This window comes from Homo sapiens, chromosome 1, assembly GCF_000001405.40.
Source record: "Homo sapiens chromosome 1, GRCh38.p14 Primary Assembly".
Lineage (NCBI taxonomy): Eukaryota > Metazoa > Chordata > Mammalia > Primates > Hominidae > Homo > Homo sapiens.
The window spans coordinates 14,698,958-14,718,979 of NC_000001.11; the positions used below are offsets into that span (position 1 = coordinate 14,698,958).

At 47.6% G+C, this 20,022-nt stretch overlaps 1 protein-coding gene across 11 annotated transcripts in view, besides 1 other annotated feature; it reads left to right on the top strand.

Moving 5' to 3' along the window:
* Positions 1-20,022, top strand: part of KAZN (kazrin, periplakin interacting protein) — a 1,225,220-nt gene that overhangs the window by 806,134 nt on the left and 399,064 nt on the right. The gene's annotated exons all lie outside the window — the stretch shown is intronic.
* Positions 18,900-19,467: an enhancer, noted in NCBI's record as "H3K4me1 hESC enhancer chr1:15044353-15044920 (GRCh37/hg19 assembly coordinates)". NCBI's record gives its function as "activates a minimal SCP1, AML or CMV promoter by ChIP-STARR-seq in naive H9 embryonic stem cells {active_cell/tissue: H9 hESC(naive)}" and the evidence as "EXISTENCE:reporter gene assay evidence [ECO:0000049][PMID:30033119]".

A 20,022-nucleotide genomic window follows, 5' to 3' on the forward strand; every position in this document is an offset into this window, starting at 1 on the left:
CCAGGGACAAGGACATAAAGGCTTCCCAGGTGAAATGGCAAGAGTTGCAGAAGGGAAGCCTTATCCACCTCTGCTCTTCCAGCGTCTGGCTGTAGCACATAGGAAAGCCCCAGTAAAGAACTCCTGGATACCTTCAACCAGAGCAGAAGTGAAACACAAACCCCCAGGGAAGTCCCAGACTGAAGGTCCAGGATCATGAGATCCTCCAAGGACAATGAGGAGACAACAATTTAGCTGGCTCCTGGGAGAGCTGTCCTCGTTGATAAACTGAAAAGTCAGGGATGATTTTGTGGATCTCAGGTGGCACCCAGGTGGGACCCAGGGAGGACCTGGAATGCTCTTGGACTCCATGCCTGGAAGGTTCTGTTTTCCCATGGAGATAGGTTTTTCCCTTTCCATTTAACCAGAGGCTCAAAAGAAAGAGCTTAGTGATACTCTGTGTTCATTTCAACAAATATGCATTGAGCATTATGCCCGGCCTTAGGCTAGGCGCTGGGAATACGATGGTGAGTGGAAGCTGACTGGTGGCTGCTCTCTCAGAGGCTACAGTGGGACAGGGACATACCATCCGAAGACTTAGCATCAAAGAAATAGCAGAGTTATAGGCTGTAGAAGTTACAACAGTAATAAAAACAGGCACTGCAAGAGAGAAAGAGAGCGATGAGGAGCATGAAGCTTGTTTACATTGGGTAGTAGAAAGGCTTCTTCAAAGAAGTGCCATTTGAGCCGAACCATGCATGACAAGAACGAACCAGCCAGCGGTGTGCTAGTAAATGTTTGACAGCCATCTCTTCAAACAAACAAAAGAATCAGGTCTGATTTGCGGAGTTTGCCAGTGTCCATGGTGTAAATGCTCACCATGGCTAATTTCAAACTGTCTCTGTGATGTCATGCTGATATCATGGGAAGAGATGTGCACAGTCAGCTCTCATGAGCTGGCATAATGAGTTGGCCCGACACTCACTAGAGTGGGCCAGACAAAGCTCTAGAGAGTGCGCAGTCCAGGCAGAGGAAATTGCACGTGCAAAGGCTGTGAGGCAGGAATAAGTATGGTGCGTTCAAGGAACAGAGAGGAGAACATGACAGCCTCCATCACAAGCAAGGGGCAGAAAGGGTTATGCTGAAAGAAGGCCAGATCACATAGGGCGTTATGAGCCATAGGAAGGACTTATGGTCAAGAAAGTCTTTGAAAACCCGAAATGGCAATGCCTGTGTACTAGGATGGCACTGCCAGCAATATCATGGGAAGGAGGAGGACTTGCCCACGTCATTCTTGAAAATGTGCTGTAACTGATCACGAGGTCAGGAGTTTGAGACCAGCCTGGTCAACATGATGAAACCCTGTCTCTACTAAAAATACAAAAATTAGTTGGCCATGGTGGTGTGCGCCTGTAATCCCAGCTACTCAGGAGACTGAGGAGGAGAATCGCTTGAACCCGGGAGGTGGAGGTTGCAGTGAGCCGAGATCACGCCACTGCACTCCAGCCTGGGCTACAGAACAAGACTCTGTCTTAAAAAAAAAAAAAATAGTCAGAGGCTGTGCTCACTGCTCCAGTTTATTTGTTATTCTCCCAGTCTCTGATGGAGTGAGTCATTGGTTTACTACTTAAGAAAATCAACTGTTTCCACAGGGAGAAAACAAATATTGTAGTGACAAATGTGTCCACACACCCACCTTCTGCTTGAAAATGTCAGTGGCATGGAAGTTGAGCATGTATGCCTCTCTCGTGTCTAAAAAGGCAATGGTGTGGCTTGCCAGAGGCGTCCAGGACACAGAAAAGACTCTGGCCAGGGTGGCTTCCTTGCAGCTGTGCAGTCTCTATTTTAACAGTCCTGGTCACGGAGCCAGAAAGGATCCAGTGAGAAAGAAGTGAGAGCAATAGCCACCTCTTAGCATGGAATAAGCCCCTCTAGGAGTTGGATAAAATGGATCCAGATACATTCTTGGATGGTTCTTGTCTCCTGGCTCTGCTCTCAATGGGAAACTTCAACACAATTCAGAGGAGCAATGTGAGTGGGCTTCAAAGGGAAGCCTTGCTAAATGAAGAAGCCGGAGAAGATTTCAATTAAGCCTGCTTAGTTCTGTATTGGACATTTCAAAAGATGTGGCCCCCACCATGCTCATTAGTGATGAGTGTATAATGTAAAACATATGACATTAGTATAATTTTTTTTCTGAGACAGGAAGTCGCTCTGTCACCCAGGCTGCAGTGCAATGGCATGCTCACAGCTCACTGCACTTAAGCCCAACCTCCTGGGCTTAAGTGATCCTCCCACCTCAGCCTCCTGAGTAGCTAGGACTGCAGGCATGTGCCACCATGCCTGGCTAATTTTTAAAATTGTTATTATTCTTAGTAGAGATTAGTTCTCACTATGTTTCCCAGGCTGGTCGTGAACTCCTGGACTCAAGCTGTCGTCCTGCCTTGACCTCCCAAAGTGTTGGGATTACAGGCATGAGCCACTGTGCCCAGCCTAGTATAATTTTTAAAAACAAGAGCAGTACCCTGCACACACTCTCCACCAGGAGTCCACACTCAAACAAGAGAGGCACAGAGCTGGGTGCCATGGCTCATGCCTATAATCGCAGCACTTTGGAGGCCAAGGCAGGTAGATCACTTGATCCTAGGAGTTTGAGACCAGCCTGAGCAACATGGTAAAATCCCATCTCTACCAATACAGTTTTTTAGAAATTAGCCAGGTACAGTGATGAGCACCTGTAGTCCCAGCTACTTGGGAGGCTGAGGTGGGAGGATTGCTTGAGCCCAGGAGGTCGAGGCTGTAGTGAGCTGTGATTGCGCCACTGCATTCCAGCCAGGGTGACAGAGTGAGACCCTGTCTCAAAACAAACAAACAAAGCCACAGGAAGAAGGTGGCACCTGCCCTTCCCTGACCGTCTCACACTGGCTGCATTTCCTTACGCACTTCCCCTCCACCTCACCTACATGTATCTGTGCACACCCCACCTAGCCTCTGGTCTCAGTATCTCTGCCTCCCTGATTGTCAGCATACCCTGTGTGTGTCCCCTCTCATTACTGGAGCGGAGGCCCCTTTCCCTACTTGTTGACGTGCTAAAGCACATCTTCGCCTCTGGTCCTTTCTCATATGAGTACATGGGTCTGCTTTCTGGTTACTCATCACCAGTGCTCAGAGTACAAGCCAGAGGACAAGAGGCAATGAGTGGGGCAGAGGGGCTATGTTCTTTGTTTACATCTCATTTCTCTTTGGGTCTTAAGTTTGCTGTTTTGAAAAGGCCCCATGGCCTGGGCAGCTCAGGAGGTTGAAGAAGCAAACCTCCGTGCAGGAGTTCTGAACTTAGAAAACTTGGATGGGCTCTAGGGTTTCTGGAAAATGCTGATATTTTTGCAAAACTGTGTGTGTGTGTGTGTGTGTGTGTGTGTGTGTGTGTGTGGATTTCTCTGTGAAGAGGGTTTGTGGCTTTCACCATGTCCTCAAAGAGGTTTTATGGCTTTAGCAATTCGCAAAAAGGTTATCAACCAAGTGCCAAGATCCCCTCCACCACCAAACAAGATGAAAACCCAAAAACTTTGCTCAGGATCTCAGAGCTTCACTGACTCTCCATGAAACCCCACTCACAATCCCTGTTTTGTTTTTTCTCAAGGCAGGAATTGGGAACGTGGTATGTATCGTGGGTGATACACAATACACAGAGTATCGTGTATCGATAGATTAGAGTTGGTGATACACCGAACTCAACTCACAGTCTTCAGTCTTCTGTCTGGTATTCTTTTTGAGAGTCACCTGGCGGCAAACCATTGTAATTGAAATGTAACGTGGCCCTTTCGCCATGCTCTGTGAAAGTGTTTAACGTGTGCCTTTGGTCTGTGCCCACCTTTTAGTATCACCGTCATTTCTTACTGTTTTTTCTTTCTTCCCCTGAAAAGTAGAAAAACAGGAATTAATACCTGAGATCTGTCCTAACCCACTATCCCCCTCCATTAAAGAAATTTTGGGGGTAATTTTTGGCTTACGATGTTCTAGAAACTGGCTGTGCTAAGCACATAGGATTTTGTAAAAATAATCTGACAGTTAAAGACTATTGTTTATTCTCATGTTACAGATAAGGAAACTGAGGCTTTGAGAGGGTAAAAATTTTCCTAAGGTCAGGTGGTATGTAAATAGTAGGGCAAGGATTTGAATTCAGGTATATATTGGGTCTTTGAGAGTACTCCCTGAAAACTACAGGTTCCTTACACTGCACACATCATGGAGGAGATTGGTCAAGAGTAGGTTGACCAGGCTGGGCGAGGTGGCTCACACCTGTACTCCCAGCTGATATGGTTTGGTAGTGTCCCCACCCAAATCTCATCTTGAATTGTAGTTCCCATAATCCCCATGGGTCATGGGAGGGACCAGGTAGAGATAATTGAATCATGGGAGCAGTTTCCTCCATCCTATTCTCATAATACTGAGTTAGCTCTCACAAGATCTGATGGTTTTATAAGAAGCTTCCCCCTTCAGTGGGCAGTCATTCTTCTTCTCCCTGCTGCCATGTGAAGAAGGACATGTTTGCTTCCCCTTCTGCCATGATTGTCAGTTTCCTGAGGCCTCCCAGCCATGCTGAACTGTGAGTCAATTAAATCTTTTTCTTTTATAAATTACCCAGTCTCAGGTATGTCTTTATTAGCAGCATGAGAATGGACTAATACACCAGTGCTTTGGGAGGCGTAGGCAGGAAGATCACTTGGGGCCAGGAGTTGGAGACCAGCCTGGACCACATAGTGAGACTCTGTCTCTACAAAAGCACAATAAAAATTAGCCAGGCATGGTGGCACACACCTGTAGTCCCAGCTACTCAGGAGGCCAAACCAGAGGAGTTGTTGAGCCCAGGAGGTCAAGGCTGCAGTGAGTTGTGATGGCGTCGCTGCGCTTCAGCCTGGGGCAACTCCAGCCTGTGAGACTTTGTCTCTAAAAAAATGAAAAATAAAAAAGAATAGATTGACCAGTCCTTCAGAGAAAAGGAAGCAAAAGGGCCAGGAGAATGTGGCTTACATATGAGAGTCAACTGGGCTTTTCTCCTACCAAGTCCAGGATTAGACAGACTCACCCACCCAGCGTCAGCTCTTGGAGGAGCAAGAAGGCAGCAGAAGAAAGTAGTAGGCTATGAATCTCTTGTTCCAAACTTATCCTTCAAGTAAGTCCCTCTACCTCCCCTGGGATGGAGTGGAAATAGTAAGGAGAGACACCTAGAAGACTGTACCAACAGACGGTCCTCTCTGTGAAAGGAAATATCAAGAATAGGGAAGAAGTGTCTCCCATTCAAGGGGATTTTGTTACCCAACCATAAGGATCCTGTTATGCAGGGGCTCTGCAGTACACAGTCCCCATGGACAAACTTCTAGACCTTCCATCATACCATGAGGTCAAATATAACATCTCTGGAAGGGACAAAATGAGCCAGGCCAATTTGGAATGCCATTGGTGTCACCAAAACCCAGCATTATCACAGGATCCACTGTGTGCGTTAGAAAAATTGAGTTATTTTTCTGTATAACCAAAATGTGTGCCCAGGGGGCACAGAGGAGTGACTTGACTCACACCTTGTAGGAAGCTGGTGTGGACCTTGGCTCTCAGGGATGACCTGTCAGGCCACTCTGAGTGACAGATCTAAGGCTTCATACTCTCTAGGACAGGCCGTGTGGACATGACATCACGGGCTTCAGGGATGAAGTCTCCACGTCCTGCATCTGGACGTCTTTTCCATTTACTCCTCCCAGATCCTCTTTCTACCCTTGTGTTCTGCTCCCTGCCACAGGAGGGAACCTGTACAAATGACATCGGGGTTCAGCCAGTGCAGAGACATGGCAGGAGGGCAGGAGGAAGAGGAGAGTGAGGTCAAGTTACCCATTGCCCTGGCTCCTTCCCTGTGTTGTGGTCAGGGACTGCTGGCTATGTCTCTCCACCAGAGCTTTCTGCAAGGCAGCCTTCTCTGTATAACCCTTTCCTTGGTTTTCCTTCTAGGTGCATAGGTGGACAGTGTTTATAGCCCCCAGTTAGTGCACTATCTAGCCACATGGTTTCTATATTAGTCATTTGCCATAACAAAACACCACAGACCAGGTGGCAAACCACAGAAATTCATTTTCTCCCAGTTCCGGAGGCTGAAGGTCCAAGATCAAGGTGCCAGAAGGGTTGGTTTCTCTGTATGCCTCTCTCCTTAGCTGGCAGATGGCCTCCCTCTTGCTGCCTCTTCCCATGGTATGCATATGTGCACACTCATCCCAGGTGTCTCTTCCTCTACTTATTAGGACATCAGTCAGATTGGATTACAGCCCCACCCTCACAGCCTCATTTTAACTTAATTACCTCTTTAAAGGCCTTATGTCCAAGAGAGAACTGTTATACACTGTTGGTATGAATGTAAACTAGTATAACTACTATGGAGAACAGTATGGAGGTTCCTCCAAAAACTACAACTAGAACCACCGTATGATCCAGCAATCCTACTACTGGACATTGATCCAAAGGAAAGGAAATCAGTATATCAAAGAGACACCTGCACCCCCATGTTTATTGCAGTACTATTCCCAATAACCAAGATATGGAATCAACCTAGGTGTTCAACAGCAGATGAATGAACAAGGAAAATGTGGTGTATATACATAATGGAATACTATTCAGCCATAAAAAGAATGAAATCCTGCCATTAGAGGCTACATGGGTGGAACTGGAGGACATTATGTTAAGTGAAACAAGCCAGGAACTGAGAGTTAAACACCACATGTTCTCACTCATGTGTGGAAGCTAAAAAAGTTTATCTAAAAAAGTGAAACAGAGGATGCTAGAGGCAGAGAAGGGGAGTAGGGAAGGAGGCATGGGGAGGCATTTGTTAAAGACTACAAAGTTACAGCTAAATAGAAAAGGAATACCTTCTAGCGTTCTATACCAGGGTTCTCCAACTCCCGGGGCCACAGACTGGTACCAGTCCATGGCCTGTTAAGAACCCTGGCCACACAGCAGGAGGTGAGTGGCAGGTGGGCAAGTGAATGAAACTTCATCTGTATTTACAGCCACTCCCCATGGCTCACATTACCACCTGAGCTCCGCCTCCTGGAGCTCAGGATCATCAGCAGCATTCGATTTGCATAGGAATGTGAACCCTCTTGTGAACTGTGCATGCAAGGGATCTAGGTTGTGAGCTCCTTAGGAGAATTGAGAATCTAATGCCCGATGATCTGTCACTGATTCCCATCACCCTCAGATGGGACCATCTAGTTGTAAGAAAACAAGCTCAGGGCTCCCATTGATTCTATATTATGGTGACTTGTATAATTATTTCATTATATATTACAATATAATAATAATAAAGTGCACAATAAATATAATGTACTTGAATCATCCCCAAACCATCCCCCCACCCCGCCAATCTGGGGAAAACCTGTCTTCCATGAAACCAGTTCCTGGTGCCAAAAACGTTGGGGACCGCTGTTCTGCACCACTGTAGGATGACTATAGTTTACAATAATATATTATACAGTGTCAAATAGCTAGAAAGAAGACATTGAATGTTCCCAACACAAAAAAAAAATAAAGATTTGAGATGATGGATATGCTAATTACTCTGATCTGATCACTATACATTATATGTATCAAAACATCACTATGTACCCCTTAAATATGCACAATTATTGTGTGTCAACTTTTAAAATGAAATTAAATTATTTTTTAAAAGACGTTACTTCAAAATATGGTTACAGTTGGAGGTACTGAGGGTTGGGACTTGAACATATGAATCTGGGGGGAAAGGAGACACACTCAGCACATAACAGTTTCTCCACACCTTTTAGTAAGCACTTTATCCTCATTTGAATGTGCCATCTGTTTCCTGCTGCCTGACTGACAAAGGAAACCCTTTGAGCTGTTTCTCTTGTAGAGATGTATACTAAATTGCCTACTTTCACCCACCTCCCCGCCACCCCACCAGGAACTGGAGGATGGTGTGTAATTTGGGCTGAATCGTCTGTAGAGTCATCATATCCGTATTTAGATGAAATCTTCACTCTCAGCCTCTCTTTGTTACCATGCTCTTGTCTCCCGGAAACTTCAGAGGCCACAGATGGCTTGGTGTATTCTAAAGTCTAGTTCTCCTTCCCTAATGGTTTCAACCTGTGTGTGTTGGCATTCGAAAACCTTTGCCTGGGTGTCACCAGGTTAGGATCAATGTGTAAAATGGATTTTCAGTACAACTGAGGGTGCAAACTATGACGGTGAGGTCTGCTGGGTGGCATTGTGTCAGCACAGGGCATGGATCACCAAAGGTGGGAGGGGACATGCTGGCTTCTCTGAACCAGGTGAGGATGCTGCATTTGGAGGTAATAAATGCGTGAGAGGATAAAGGCAATAACAGATCCACTCCAACCACGGCACCTAGTGAAGGGCCAGAGAGTGGCCTTTCTGTCACAATAACCAGAGATGTAGTATCTTCTCAAGTGTGGGAAACCACTGTCCTGTCCCGAGAGCTGCACCAAGCTGGGAGTTTCTCTCCGGCCATCAACTTTCTTGTCTTAAAAGGTCTCTTTCTGGAATTCTCCAGAGTCATTTGCTGGTGGTGTGGCTCTTCCTTTAAAATCTTTATTTCCTTTCATTTCCCAACGTACTCTCCAGCTCACCCTGTAATGCTACAGAGGAGCCCGGGGATTTCTTTAGCGTTTTGAAGTCCTTGGCTGCCATTTTGGTTGCTTGAAGATTTTGCTCCAAGACCCACTGCTCTGCATATTTGTTTGTTTGTCGTGTCAGTCATCAGGAAACCTAGACCATATGTTTCTGACTCATTTACGCCGAAGTCATCAAACAACACTTGGAGTAGTTGTTTTAAGTCCATAAAGGTTTTACATCCTTAGGTTTCATTTCTCGGCACTCTTCTTTAATTAAATATAATTTATCCAGCGTTTACCAATGCTACATGCCAAGCACTGCACTGGCTCTGGAAGTGCAGAAAAGAATAAAACACAGATCCTTCCTTCACGGAGTTTGCAGCATGAATCACCCGGCCAAGCATTAATGAGATTAAACCAGAACGGTAAGAAAGTGTTCATTTTGAAATCCCAGGTCTGTGAGTTTGAGCAGTTTCTAGATCTAGCCAGGGTGACACCGGCCTTCTCCTCACTGGCTCGGCTTTTGGATTTTCCTCTTCCCAGAGGTGGATACTTTAGTGATGCACCCATAAAGTCTTGATTCACTCCGTTTGAAGCCTTTTTTACCCTGATGGACCTGGCTGTGCCTTTCCATGGATGAGGAAATCCATTGCTCCCCTGGAGAGCCCAAGTTTGCATGGATGCCAGAGGTGTGGTTGGAATCAGGACTTTTCACTCTGAAGTTCCAGTAAGGAGAACTCAGAGGTGATTAACAGGAACAAGTGATATTTTGCACTGCTGATTCTATTTCACAATCTCAGATGCTAATCCTCGCCAAGGAGCCGATTTAAATCCCAGTCTCTTCAGCACCTGTTAATTTCACCAAAGCACAAAAAAAACTTTTTTCTAGATACGGGGGCAATATTAGGATTTTGTTTTCCTAAGTGGTTCCCATGGACTTTTCTTTTCTTCCTAACTGTGCCAAGTATTAAGAATTGCATGAGGTTGACATCAGAGAGTTTTCACACAGTCTTTGGACAGAGCTACACAAAGGTACTTTTTAAGCCTCAGTCAGTGGCATACAGAGGCCCACAGCTCTGCTTACACATGGTGGCATGAACAGCCCCGGCTTCAGATCCCTGAGTAGCACAATGCAATCAAGAGCAGCTAATTCTCACCCTTTGGCATCTCTTTTTGCTTGAGTATTCAGCTGGTAGCAGCCAGCAAGGATTGTTTATTAAAGATTTTATTTTGGCCCTGCAGTGTTGGGTTATATGCAGACTGTCACCTGATTTTGGTTTATCGTTTTGTTTGCCCTCATCAGGTCCTTGAGTTTAGAGATACTTTTTGAGCTTTAAAATAAGCAAGTCCATGAGTGGTCTCAATGACCAGGACTGTGTTTTATTTCCTCCTTTCCTCAGAGTCCCTGGCTTGGCTCCTAGGAGGTGCATGGTACCTGTTGGATGATGATGGTGATGACAAAGACAATGAGGGCAGATACCACGGTTTTCATGCTTAGTACCCACCAGGCATGGTGCTAGGTGACACACCTGCGTCTGCTCACTGCATCCTCACCACCACCCTAACGGCACAGATGAATCGGAGGCACGAAGCCTTTGTTATTTCCCCAAAGGCACACACCAGCAAATAGAGAGCTGAGATCCAAACCCCTGTGAGTCTCACTCCGGAGCCCAAACTCTTGGCTTGAATTCTAGAATGAAAAACCCAATTAATAAAGTGCAAAATGTTTGTCTTTCCAGTTACGTGTCTTCCCTATCCAAAGGCATTTAGAAGGAAGAATTCAGCAAAACAGCTTTTGTGAGTTAGTGAAGCCTCCACAAATGTTGAACTCCTGAGTCTCGGTCAAGAAAAACTTAAGACTGAAAATTCCAATGAGGCAGCTCTGAAGAGATGGTTCTCAGCCTGCCAGTGGCCCAGAAGAACCTTCCAGAAAGACTAAAGTGCCCTCTAAGAAGGACCAAGTGCTTCTGCAGGAAGTAAACTCTGTGCCAAGCAGACGGTCCACCTAGGAAAGCTTTTCGGTTGGCTCAGCAGAGAAAACCAGGGCTGGTCTTCCTTCAGCAAGTTGGTCATCTTCACACCAACTCTCCTGTGAGAGGCCACTGCTCCAGGATACAGTATGAAGAGTGGGCGTAGTTGAGGGATGGTATGAACTCATGTTGTTCCTGTCCTCCCCATCTAAGGGGAGACAAATGACACCTGAGGTCAGCAGGAAAGTGAGCTCACCTGTGTGAGTGTCACCAGGTGCCTTTTCTTATGAACATTTCCTACTAACTGAGATCAGGTTTTCTGCTCTGCAATTCACAGATGAGGAAAACAAGGCCCAGAGAGGTTAAGATACTTACCCAAAGTAAACAGAGAATAAGAGGTGGAATGAGAGCATCATTCAAGGGAAGTTTCTGGTCTTCACAGTATCCCTGCTGTGTCTGAGATCACGTGTCATACGCCGTCACATAATTCCCGTCCACTGATGTATGCCACACCCCAGGCTTCAAAGAGAACGTGCTGGACACTGCCTCTGCCCTGGTGGAATTCATATTCAAGAGGAGAAACAGATAATAAACAATGAACATTGCAGGATGAATGCCTGATTTACAACTGCAGTAAGCGCCAAACAGAAAGGCTGGTCTCTGAGAGCATCTTCAGAATTTACCCATTTCCCCCAACTCCATTGCTACTTCCCTTCTTCCAGCCACCATCAACCCTCTCCTGGATTCTCAAAGCTGCCCCGTGCTGGTCTTCCTGCTTCTCCTCTGGCCAGCCAGAGGGATCTTTTAAACTGTAAATCAGATGACATCACTGTACTGCTCAAAACCTCCCAGAGGCTCCCTCTCAGAGAAAAGGCCGATGTCCTACCGTGGCACGTGGGGCCCTAAAGGCCCTCCAGCTTCTCACCAGCCTCACCTCTCCCTCCTCAACATCCCTCTCACCACTGCGTTAGAGCTTAGCCATACCAGCTCCTATATACTATTCCTGCACACTCCACCCTGGGTCCCACCTCAGGGCCTTTGCACTAGCTGTTCCATCTTTCAGGGCTCTCTCCCCACCCCCCGGTACCAGCATGGATTGATCCTCACTTCCTGCAGGGTTCTGAAGGGGAGAGTCCTTTTTCCATTGCCCCAGCCCTCGCTGTCTCCCTTTCCCTGCTTCATTTGTCCCACAGCAGTGATCAGCATTTGACCTTTTGTGTATTTGTTGATGTCTGTCTTCCTCCAGTGGAATGAAAGTTCTGGGACAGCGAGGTCTTGGTCTATTGTATGTTCTGCTCTATTCCCAGGACTGGGAACAGTGCCTGGCATATAGTAGAACCTTAATAAATAATTATTGAGGGGGGCTGGGTACAGTAGCTCACATCTGTAATCCCAGCACTTAGGGAGGCCAAGGTGGGAGGATCACTTGAGGCCAGGAGTTCAAGACCAGCCTGGGCAACATGGCAAGATACCACTATCTCCACAAAAAAATTAAAAAACAAAAATAGCTGGGCATGGTGGTGTGTGCTTGTAGACCCAGCTACTTGGGAGACTGATGCAGGAGGCTCACTTGAGCCCAGGAGTTGGAGGCTGCAGTGAGCCATGATGGCACCACTGCCCTCCAGCCTGGGGGACAAAGCCAGACCTTGTCTCTATTTTCGAAAAGAAGTATTATTGAAGGAATGAGCCAGGCATGGCAGCATGCACCTGTAGTCCCAGCCACTTGGGAGGCTGAGGCAGCAGGATCACTTGAGTCCAGGAGTTCGAGACCAACCTGGGCAATATAGAAAGACTCTGTTTCCAAAAAAAAAAAAAAAATTGAGGGAATAGGTGTGTAATTGAGGGCCACATTTGGTTTGGGGATGGTCACATTTCGTTTGGGGATGACAGTTGATTTCTCTGGGAGAAGAAAGGCACGACACGCAGGTTCTAGCATGGTTCCCCACGCCCTTCCGCTGGTGTTCACATCCTTGTGTAGTCCCTTCCTTTGGGTGGGGTGGGACCTGTGATGTCACTTCCAAGATTAGGTTATGAAGGACAGTGATTGCTGTCTTGCTAGTGCACTCTCTCCCCATCTCTCACTTGCTCCCGTCGATGAAGCAGTGTGCCATGTTGTGAGCCACTAAGAGGCCCACACAGTAAGGAACTGGGGTGGTCAACAGTCTGCAAGGAAGTGAGTTCTGCCAGCCTTCAGGTCAGTGAGCTTGGAAGCAGATCCTCTTCCGCATGGAGCCGTGCTGTGACGGCAGCCACAGCTGACACCTTGCAGCCTGTGAGAGACCCCGGGACAAAGGACTCAGAGGGCCCAAAAGTCTGCGACCAGATCCTGGTGCACAGAAACTGTGAGACACTCAGTGTTGCCTCAAGCCATTAGGACCGGGACAGCTTGTTACACGCAGTAGATAACTAATACAGGAGAGGTTCCGGCCATGGGGAGCTGCATTCTGAGTACAGAAGGAGCATGGTGCAGGCAATTGAAAAGGCAAAGAAGCCAGAAACCTGGAGCTTCACGAGCAAGGGGAAGAAGAGTAGGGGATAAGGGGAGAAAGGGTTTTAGGGGCCAGGTGCTGGATTTGGGGTTTAACCTAAAAGCTAATAGAAGCCACCAAAGGGTTGAAGCAGGTAGCAGGGAGGCAGTCTCTAATTTGCATGTTGCATTTAAAAGATCACCCTGGACACCATACAGAGAAGAGATTAGAAGGGCAGAAGGAGCAGGGAGACAGGAGGCTGTGAGATTCATCTGTGCCTGAGATGCAGATGGCCTGGTCCAGGGTGCTGGCAGTGGTAGCCAGGGAGAGGGAGATAGCAGGAAGCTGATCCTCAGGTTCCAACAGTCCTTGTCTGTGTTTTGGCTCAAACCCCAGGCCACTGAGATGCTGTGTGGGTTCAGGTTGATGCCAACAATGCCGAAATTACACCATTCTCATCACAGAAGTTTTCGATGCTTTCTGAAAAGCAGGAGTGCTAACCCTATCTGACTAGAGAGAAAACCAGGCCCTGGGAAATAGAGCATTTTGCAATCATTTGAGACCCCTCCGATCTGCCAGAAGCCCATGCTCTGGAAGCTGCACACTTCATTTCATGAAAGGTCACTCTAGGCTCTCCTTGGCCCCAGTCCCTGACAGTTGCTAAATCATCTATTATTACCCGAAAAACCAAAGCTGAGCCTCCACAGGGAAAGAAACAATGAAAGTCAAAAGTTGGGGGCAGAAACCGCTCAGACCTGGGCAGGCTGGAACATTCCCCTAGTGCAAGCCATAGGTAAAAACCAACCACAGCAGCTATAGAATTAATACTGTCTTCTCACCCCCCACCTTTTCCCTGTGCTTTCTCACACACCACAATAAAGAGCATCTGTGTTTTCCCAGCCCTCGTGGTGCGAAGTATGCTCCAAGATGACACATTCCCTATAGATGCTCATGTATCAGTTGTTTTTTAATGCCGCACTGCTGTGTAACAAACAACCACAAGCCCTCAGTGGCATAGACAGTGAGTACACAATGCTCCTATGTCTGGGTGGTCAGGGGGCCACTCTAATCTGGACTGAGCCTGCTCAATACCTGTGGGTCATCTGGCTACCTGCTGGGGTGACTGGGGCCACCAGGCTCTGCTCTGTGTGTCTCTCCTCCTTCATTACGCTAGCACAGGCTTGTTTTCATGGTGATCCTGAGGTGCAAGAGAGGACAAGCTTAATTGCACAAGCGCTTTTTCAAGCCTCTGCTTGTTCCATGGGTGCTAGCATCTCATTGGCCAAAGCAAGTCATGTGGCCACGTCCAGGTGTGAAGAACTGGGGGCCTTTTGCAATGCTCCTGGTAGACACAGGCACCTGATGATCTCAGATCTTTAACAGCACAATCATTTCAGTGCTGATCACTGTCATTTACGGAGCTGGCACTGTGCCTGGTTAGTTTACTTTAACTCAATGGCTCCCAGTGGGGGGTGATTTTGTCCCCCAGGAGACATCTGGAGATATTTTTGGTTATCACAACTGAATGGGGAAGATGCTTCTGGCATAGGGTGGGTAGAGGCCACGGTTGCTGCTAAACACTCTTCAGTACAGAGGACGGCCCTCACAGCAAAGACTTACCTGGCCCCAAGTGTCAGTATTGCCAAGGCTAGCCGAGTACAGTGGCTTATGCCTGTAATCCTAGTATTTTGGGAGGCCGAGATAGGAGGGTCATGGAGCCAAGGAGTACGAGACTAGCCTACACAACAAAACGAGACCTCATCTCTACAAAAAAAAAAAAAAAAAAAAAAAAAGAAAGAATAATTAGGTGTGGTGATGCACAGCTGTGGTCCCAGCTGTTTGAGGGGCCGAGCGGGGAGGATCGCTTGAGCCCAGGAGATGGAGATTGCAGTGAGCCATGACCACACCACTGCACTCCAGCCCGGGCAACAGAGCGAGATCCTGTCTCAAGAAACAAAAGAAAGAAAGAAAAATAATATTGCCAAGGTTGAGAACCCATGCATTAATTTGATAAATCCTGACACCCACCCTGTGAAGTTTCATTAGATCCATTTTTACTAATTTTTTCCTTTCTTAGCCACATAACTGGGTCTTGCTCTCTGGGCTGACTGATGGAGACTGCCTGTGGTTTGGGTGCAGGTCCCTGCAGTCTGGTTACCATCATACTGGTTCCATTTTGTTCCTGCCACCTGGTCCACCTCCCAGGTAGTGGCTGACACTCCCCTCTGCCTGGATCCTTGATGGACAAATCCCTTCTCAAGAGGCATCTGATGATACCCTCTTCGGAGCAGGTGAAGAGTATTAGAGTATCCTTGTTCTCAATTAGCTGGATAATTGGCTCTGCACGGAATTTCTCACTGGCTGTGTTGGAGAGGCATTATTAAAGAAACCCAAAGCAAAGAAAAAAAAAATCCCTAAGCAGCCAGTATGTTTGCATGGCCTCCTGGTCTACCCTGGAACCTCTAGGCAAGTGTGCAGCATAATTAAGGCGGAAGTCCACGTGGGGGCCCTGGGTTGGGAATGTTTGTGGAGAGAGCAGACACCTGCTCTGCTAATGCGTTGCTCTTCCCCACTTCAAGCAATCCTGTCCTCTTGTGAGCTGCTCCTGAAGGCTGTCATGGTCCTTAAGGAAGCTGCTGGACATAAGAACAGCTGCTGATCCCAGGCACAGGCAGCATACCTGCTCTGTGCTCTTCCTGTGAGGAAGAGAGAGATGTGGATAGGTCTTGGTTTTCACACTTTGGGGATGAAAAGACAGTATTTTTCTTTTTTCTTTTTCTTTTTTTTTTGTTTTTTTTTTTTTTTGAGACAGGTTCTTGCTCTGTCGTTCAGGCTGGAGTGCAGTGGCACAATCACAGTTCACCGCAGCCTTGACTTCCCAGACTCAAGTGATCCTCCTGCCTCAGCCTCCCAAGTAGCTGGAACTATAGGCACACACCATCATGCCCAACTAATTTTTTTTTTCTTTTAGTAGAGACGAGGTTTCACTATGTTGCCCAGGCTGGTCTCAAACTCCTCAGCTTAGCAATCCTCCCACCTCGGCCTCCCAGAGTGCTGGGACCACAGGCACTTGCCACCATACCCGGCTAACTTGTTTATTTTTTGTAAGAGACAGGGTCTCACTCTGTTGCCCAGGCTGGTCTCAAATTCCTGGACTCAAGGGATCCTCCCACCTTGGCTGAGACGCCCTGGCTAGTGTGTGATCTGCCACCTTGCAGGGCCCTAACAGTGCAGCCCCAGAATAGTGGCTGGAAAAGGCCAAAGGCTTAGGGCAGGTTGCTCTTGAACTTCACCATATGCTTGTCTCAAGGGGCCCCATCCCAGCCTGATGGGAGGGGCTGGGTCCTTGCCTATAGTGCTTTACCTTCACGAGGGAGGTTGGCCAAGTTTACAAAATGAGGTGACACTTGGCACCAAAGAATGGCACAGCCTGGCAGCGAAGCTGTTTCCTCCATTCGCAGCAGAGCTGTTGGAAGCCGGCAGCGCACACATCATCCTCAGAAGGGACTCCTCCAAAACCTCAGCGCTCCGAAAACAGGCTGCGTGTGTAGCTTGATGTTCGGGGGCTGGCAGATGAGCCAGTAATGGATGTTTCCTATCCTGAGAGCACATTTTTCTCCGAGGACCATATCACCTCTTAGGGCCTAATACAGGTTGATATTTTTCCTTTACCCTGAAAGTCTCTGCAGCAAATGTGCAGTCAGAACCATTTTTCTGATTGAACTAAAAGTATCGCAGCTTCATTTTCTTTTCCCTTTGGGTTAAGTCGGTATTTAAAAGGCCTCTCCGAAGAGTGAAACTATCTCTAATTTAGAAAGCTCCAAATCTCCATCACAGAGACGCAGGCCGCGGTGGTTGACAAGGTTCCGGGCTCTTGTTTCTAAACATTGAAGCCATCTCTACACTTAAAATGGACGCTGGAGTGTTTCTAAGGATGGGGGTGAAAGCGGTGCAACTGAAGGTCTTTAATCAACTGTGGTCAGCAAATAAAAGGAAGTGACATTTCCCTTGAAATATTGAAAGGCTTGGATTTCTTCATCAGAAGTGTTTTAAGAGCAAACTCTCAGGTTCATTCAAGTGGGGCACTGCCTTCCAAATGCCAATATCCACTACTTAAGTGCAGAGAAAAATGTGTATATATGTGCATGTGTATGTATGTACACGTGTGTGTGTGTGTCAGTGTGTGTGCATTGGAAGGGCTTCTCAGCTTCCCACCCAGGAGTCTCTGTTTGCAAAATAAGTGTGTAGGTCATGATTATTTCACATTTAAATTAATGGAAGTGGATTTCTCTAGACATTTATCGTTCAGGCAATGCAGCGTTCTCTCCAAAATCCCTGCTGCCTAAGTAGAAATTTTTCAAGTCATCTTCAGCTCTTTCCTCTCCCTCACTTGAGGGCATGCAGTCAGTTGAGCAGATTTTCTTCCCCTTTCCAATCTTTTTTCACATCTGTCTGTTTCATTCCGTTCCCACTGCCGCCCAGAAATCAGGCCCTCATAATCCTTCCCTTGGACCATTGCAGTAACCTCCCTGTCGGCAGCCTTGTGCTCTAATCCATCCTGGATTCAGCTGCTAGATGAATTCTCTGGCGGCAACTCTCTGAGCAGGTAGCTCTTGTCATCAAAGCCCACTGCTCAGCCCTCAGGCGGAGCACCTGAAAGGCTGGCATTTCACCATGTGCCTGAGCCGTCCTTTCCTGTGTTCCCTGCTGTCCCTAGTTAACCTACATCCTCCCCTCTAGGGCCCTGCTCTGCAAACTGTGCTCTGTGAATCCTCTGCAATCCCAGACATGGCTCTAGCCACCACAGTTACTGACCCACTTGGTTTTGTTAAATCCATTTACCAGTCAAAGTTTCTATGTCAGTGTTTGTCAAAGAAGAGGGTGCCACTGCCGGGGGAATGTTCCCTGGCAGTTCCCTTGGAGCATCTTATGCTTTCTGGCCTCTGAGACTTGACTCACAGCAGTCCCGCCCTCTGGAATGCCTTCTCCTCCAGCCCTGCCCTTCAAGGCCCAGCTGGGAGGCTCCCTTGCCCATGGAGGGAGAGGTAACATCCTTGGACACCTGGCCAGATGTGAGCGCTCTCTCCCCTAGGCATCTCTGATTTATCTGTGTCGTCCTTGGATGTGCATGCTTGCAGCCTACAGCATTATTGTCTCATAACCTCCCACTCCCCCCTACTCACTGGATGTGGACTCTGTAGGCACAGGGATTCGTGTGTTCATCTCATGTGTCCATTCAACAACCATGTACCCTGGCATGAGCTTTCCCATACCAGGTGCTGGGAATGTGTTGATGAACGAGAAAGACACATCTCTACCCTCATGGATTCTGTATTCTAGCTGGAAAGAGGGTCTGGAGGCCAGAAGTCCAAAATCAAGGTATTAGGAGGGCGATGCTTCCTCCAAAACCTCTAGAGGAGGCTCCTTCCTTCCTTTTCCCAGCTTGCGGTGGCCCCGGCATTCCTTGGCTGTGGCAGCATCCGATCTCTGCCCCTATCTTCTGTGGCCCCCTCCCTGTGTGTCTCTGTGTCCTTTTTCCTGTCTCATAGAAGAACACGCCCATTGGATTTCTGGCCCATTCTAATCCAGCATGATCTCATCTTGACCTTTACCTTAATTATATCTGCAAGGACCCTTAAGCCAAATAAGGTTCCGAGGTTCAGAGTGGACATGAATTTGGGGCTGACATGAAAGTGGAACCTGAGGCCCAAGAGGCCCCTGGGGCTGACACCCCTGTGGGGCTGACATGGAAGGGGAAACTGAGGCCCAAGAGGGCAGTTTGTCCTGGACCTCACAGCTGGGCTTGGCCAAAAAAAGGTCGGGCCTTGATGCAATGTGGATGCGCTTCCACTGCACACCGACCCCCACCCCTGCTGCACCCGAAATCCAAGTTTGATGGCTACCATCTTGCCTGCTGTTCCCAGCCTGCTCTCTTTGGTTCAGAATACAAGGAGAACAGAACCTGGTCAGAGGCCATCAAGAGGGACGCTTCCCCCATTGAGCCTGGCCTCTATCACCTGTGGTGACTGGGGTAGCACCGCCAAAGACCGCCGGCATTGGCTGCTGGTCACCAGCGGCAGGGCAAGCACAAAGAAGCAAATTACCCCCAGGGAGTCTGATTCCTGTCCAGTCGCATTTTCGATGTGCTTCATGCTCTCTCTTCCAGCTGTTTGCACCACCACTTCAAATGGTTGATTCTGTTGCTCTGTAAAGAAAATGTCGCTCATTTCCGTTAAGTGCCCATCTCCCTGGTTTATGTTGCCACCACATTTGTCCTCCCGCTTGATGTGAATTCAAACCGTGGTAGGCGGTGTGCCCTCGGGACTCCACTCAGCATTTTGTATGGCCCCTTAATCACCTGCTTTTCAGAGAGTACAGACCAGATTTCCCCCAACCTGGCATGTGGACGTCCTTGCGGGGACTTTTCCATTTTGGAGGGTTTCCGCATATCACAATATCCTTTTTGTAATAAAAGGAAGAGAATTGCTGACAATTTTCACAAATTTAGGCTCTTGCGAGAATAATTTTCTCTGAATTATGTGTGATTCTCCTTTTTATGTGTCCCTAACATTTAGTTTGCTTTTGGTGCAGCCGCTAAGCTGACTGTTAAATATTTGTCTCTCCTGCCACTTGGTCTTCAAGCTGTAGGTGTTTAGCACACGCGGGCAGTGCCAAGGACCTCACATGGCGAATGTCACTGGCCTTCTGGATCCCCACAAACCAGAAGCAGTGAAGGAGGAGACAGAACTGGGGTTTAATTTAACTCCTAAACTACTGAATCCGCACCCTTTCCTTTCTGCTTTTATCTTAGGGCTACGTGGAGGGCTGGATCCTTAGGGGACATCATGAAAGCAAGAACCACCCCACTCCGCCCCAGTTGCGCCTGTTAGGATGGGTTGGTTGGTTGACATGACATAAAAAGAGAAGGTAGGGGGTTTGAGGTCAACATTTTTCAACTTCACAGTCTGAGTT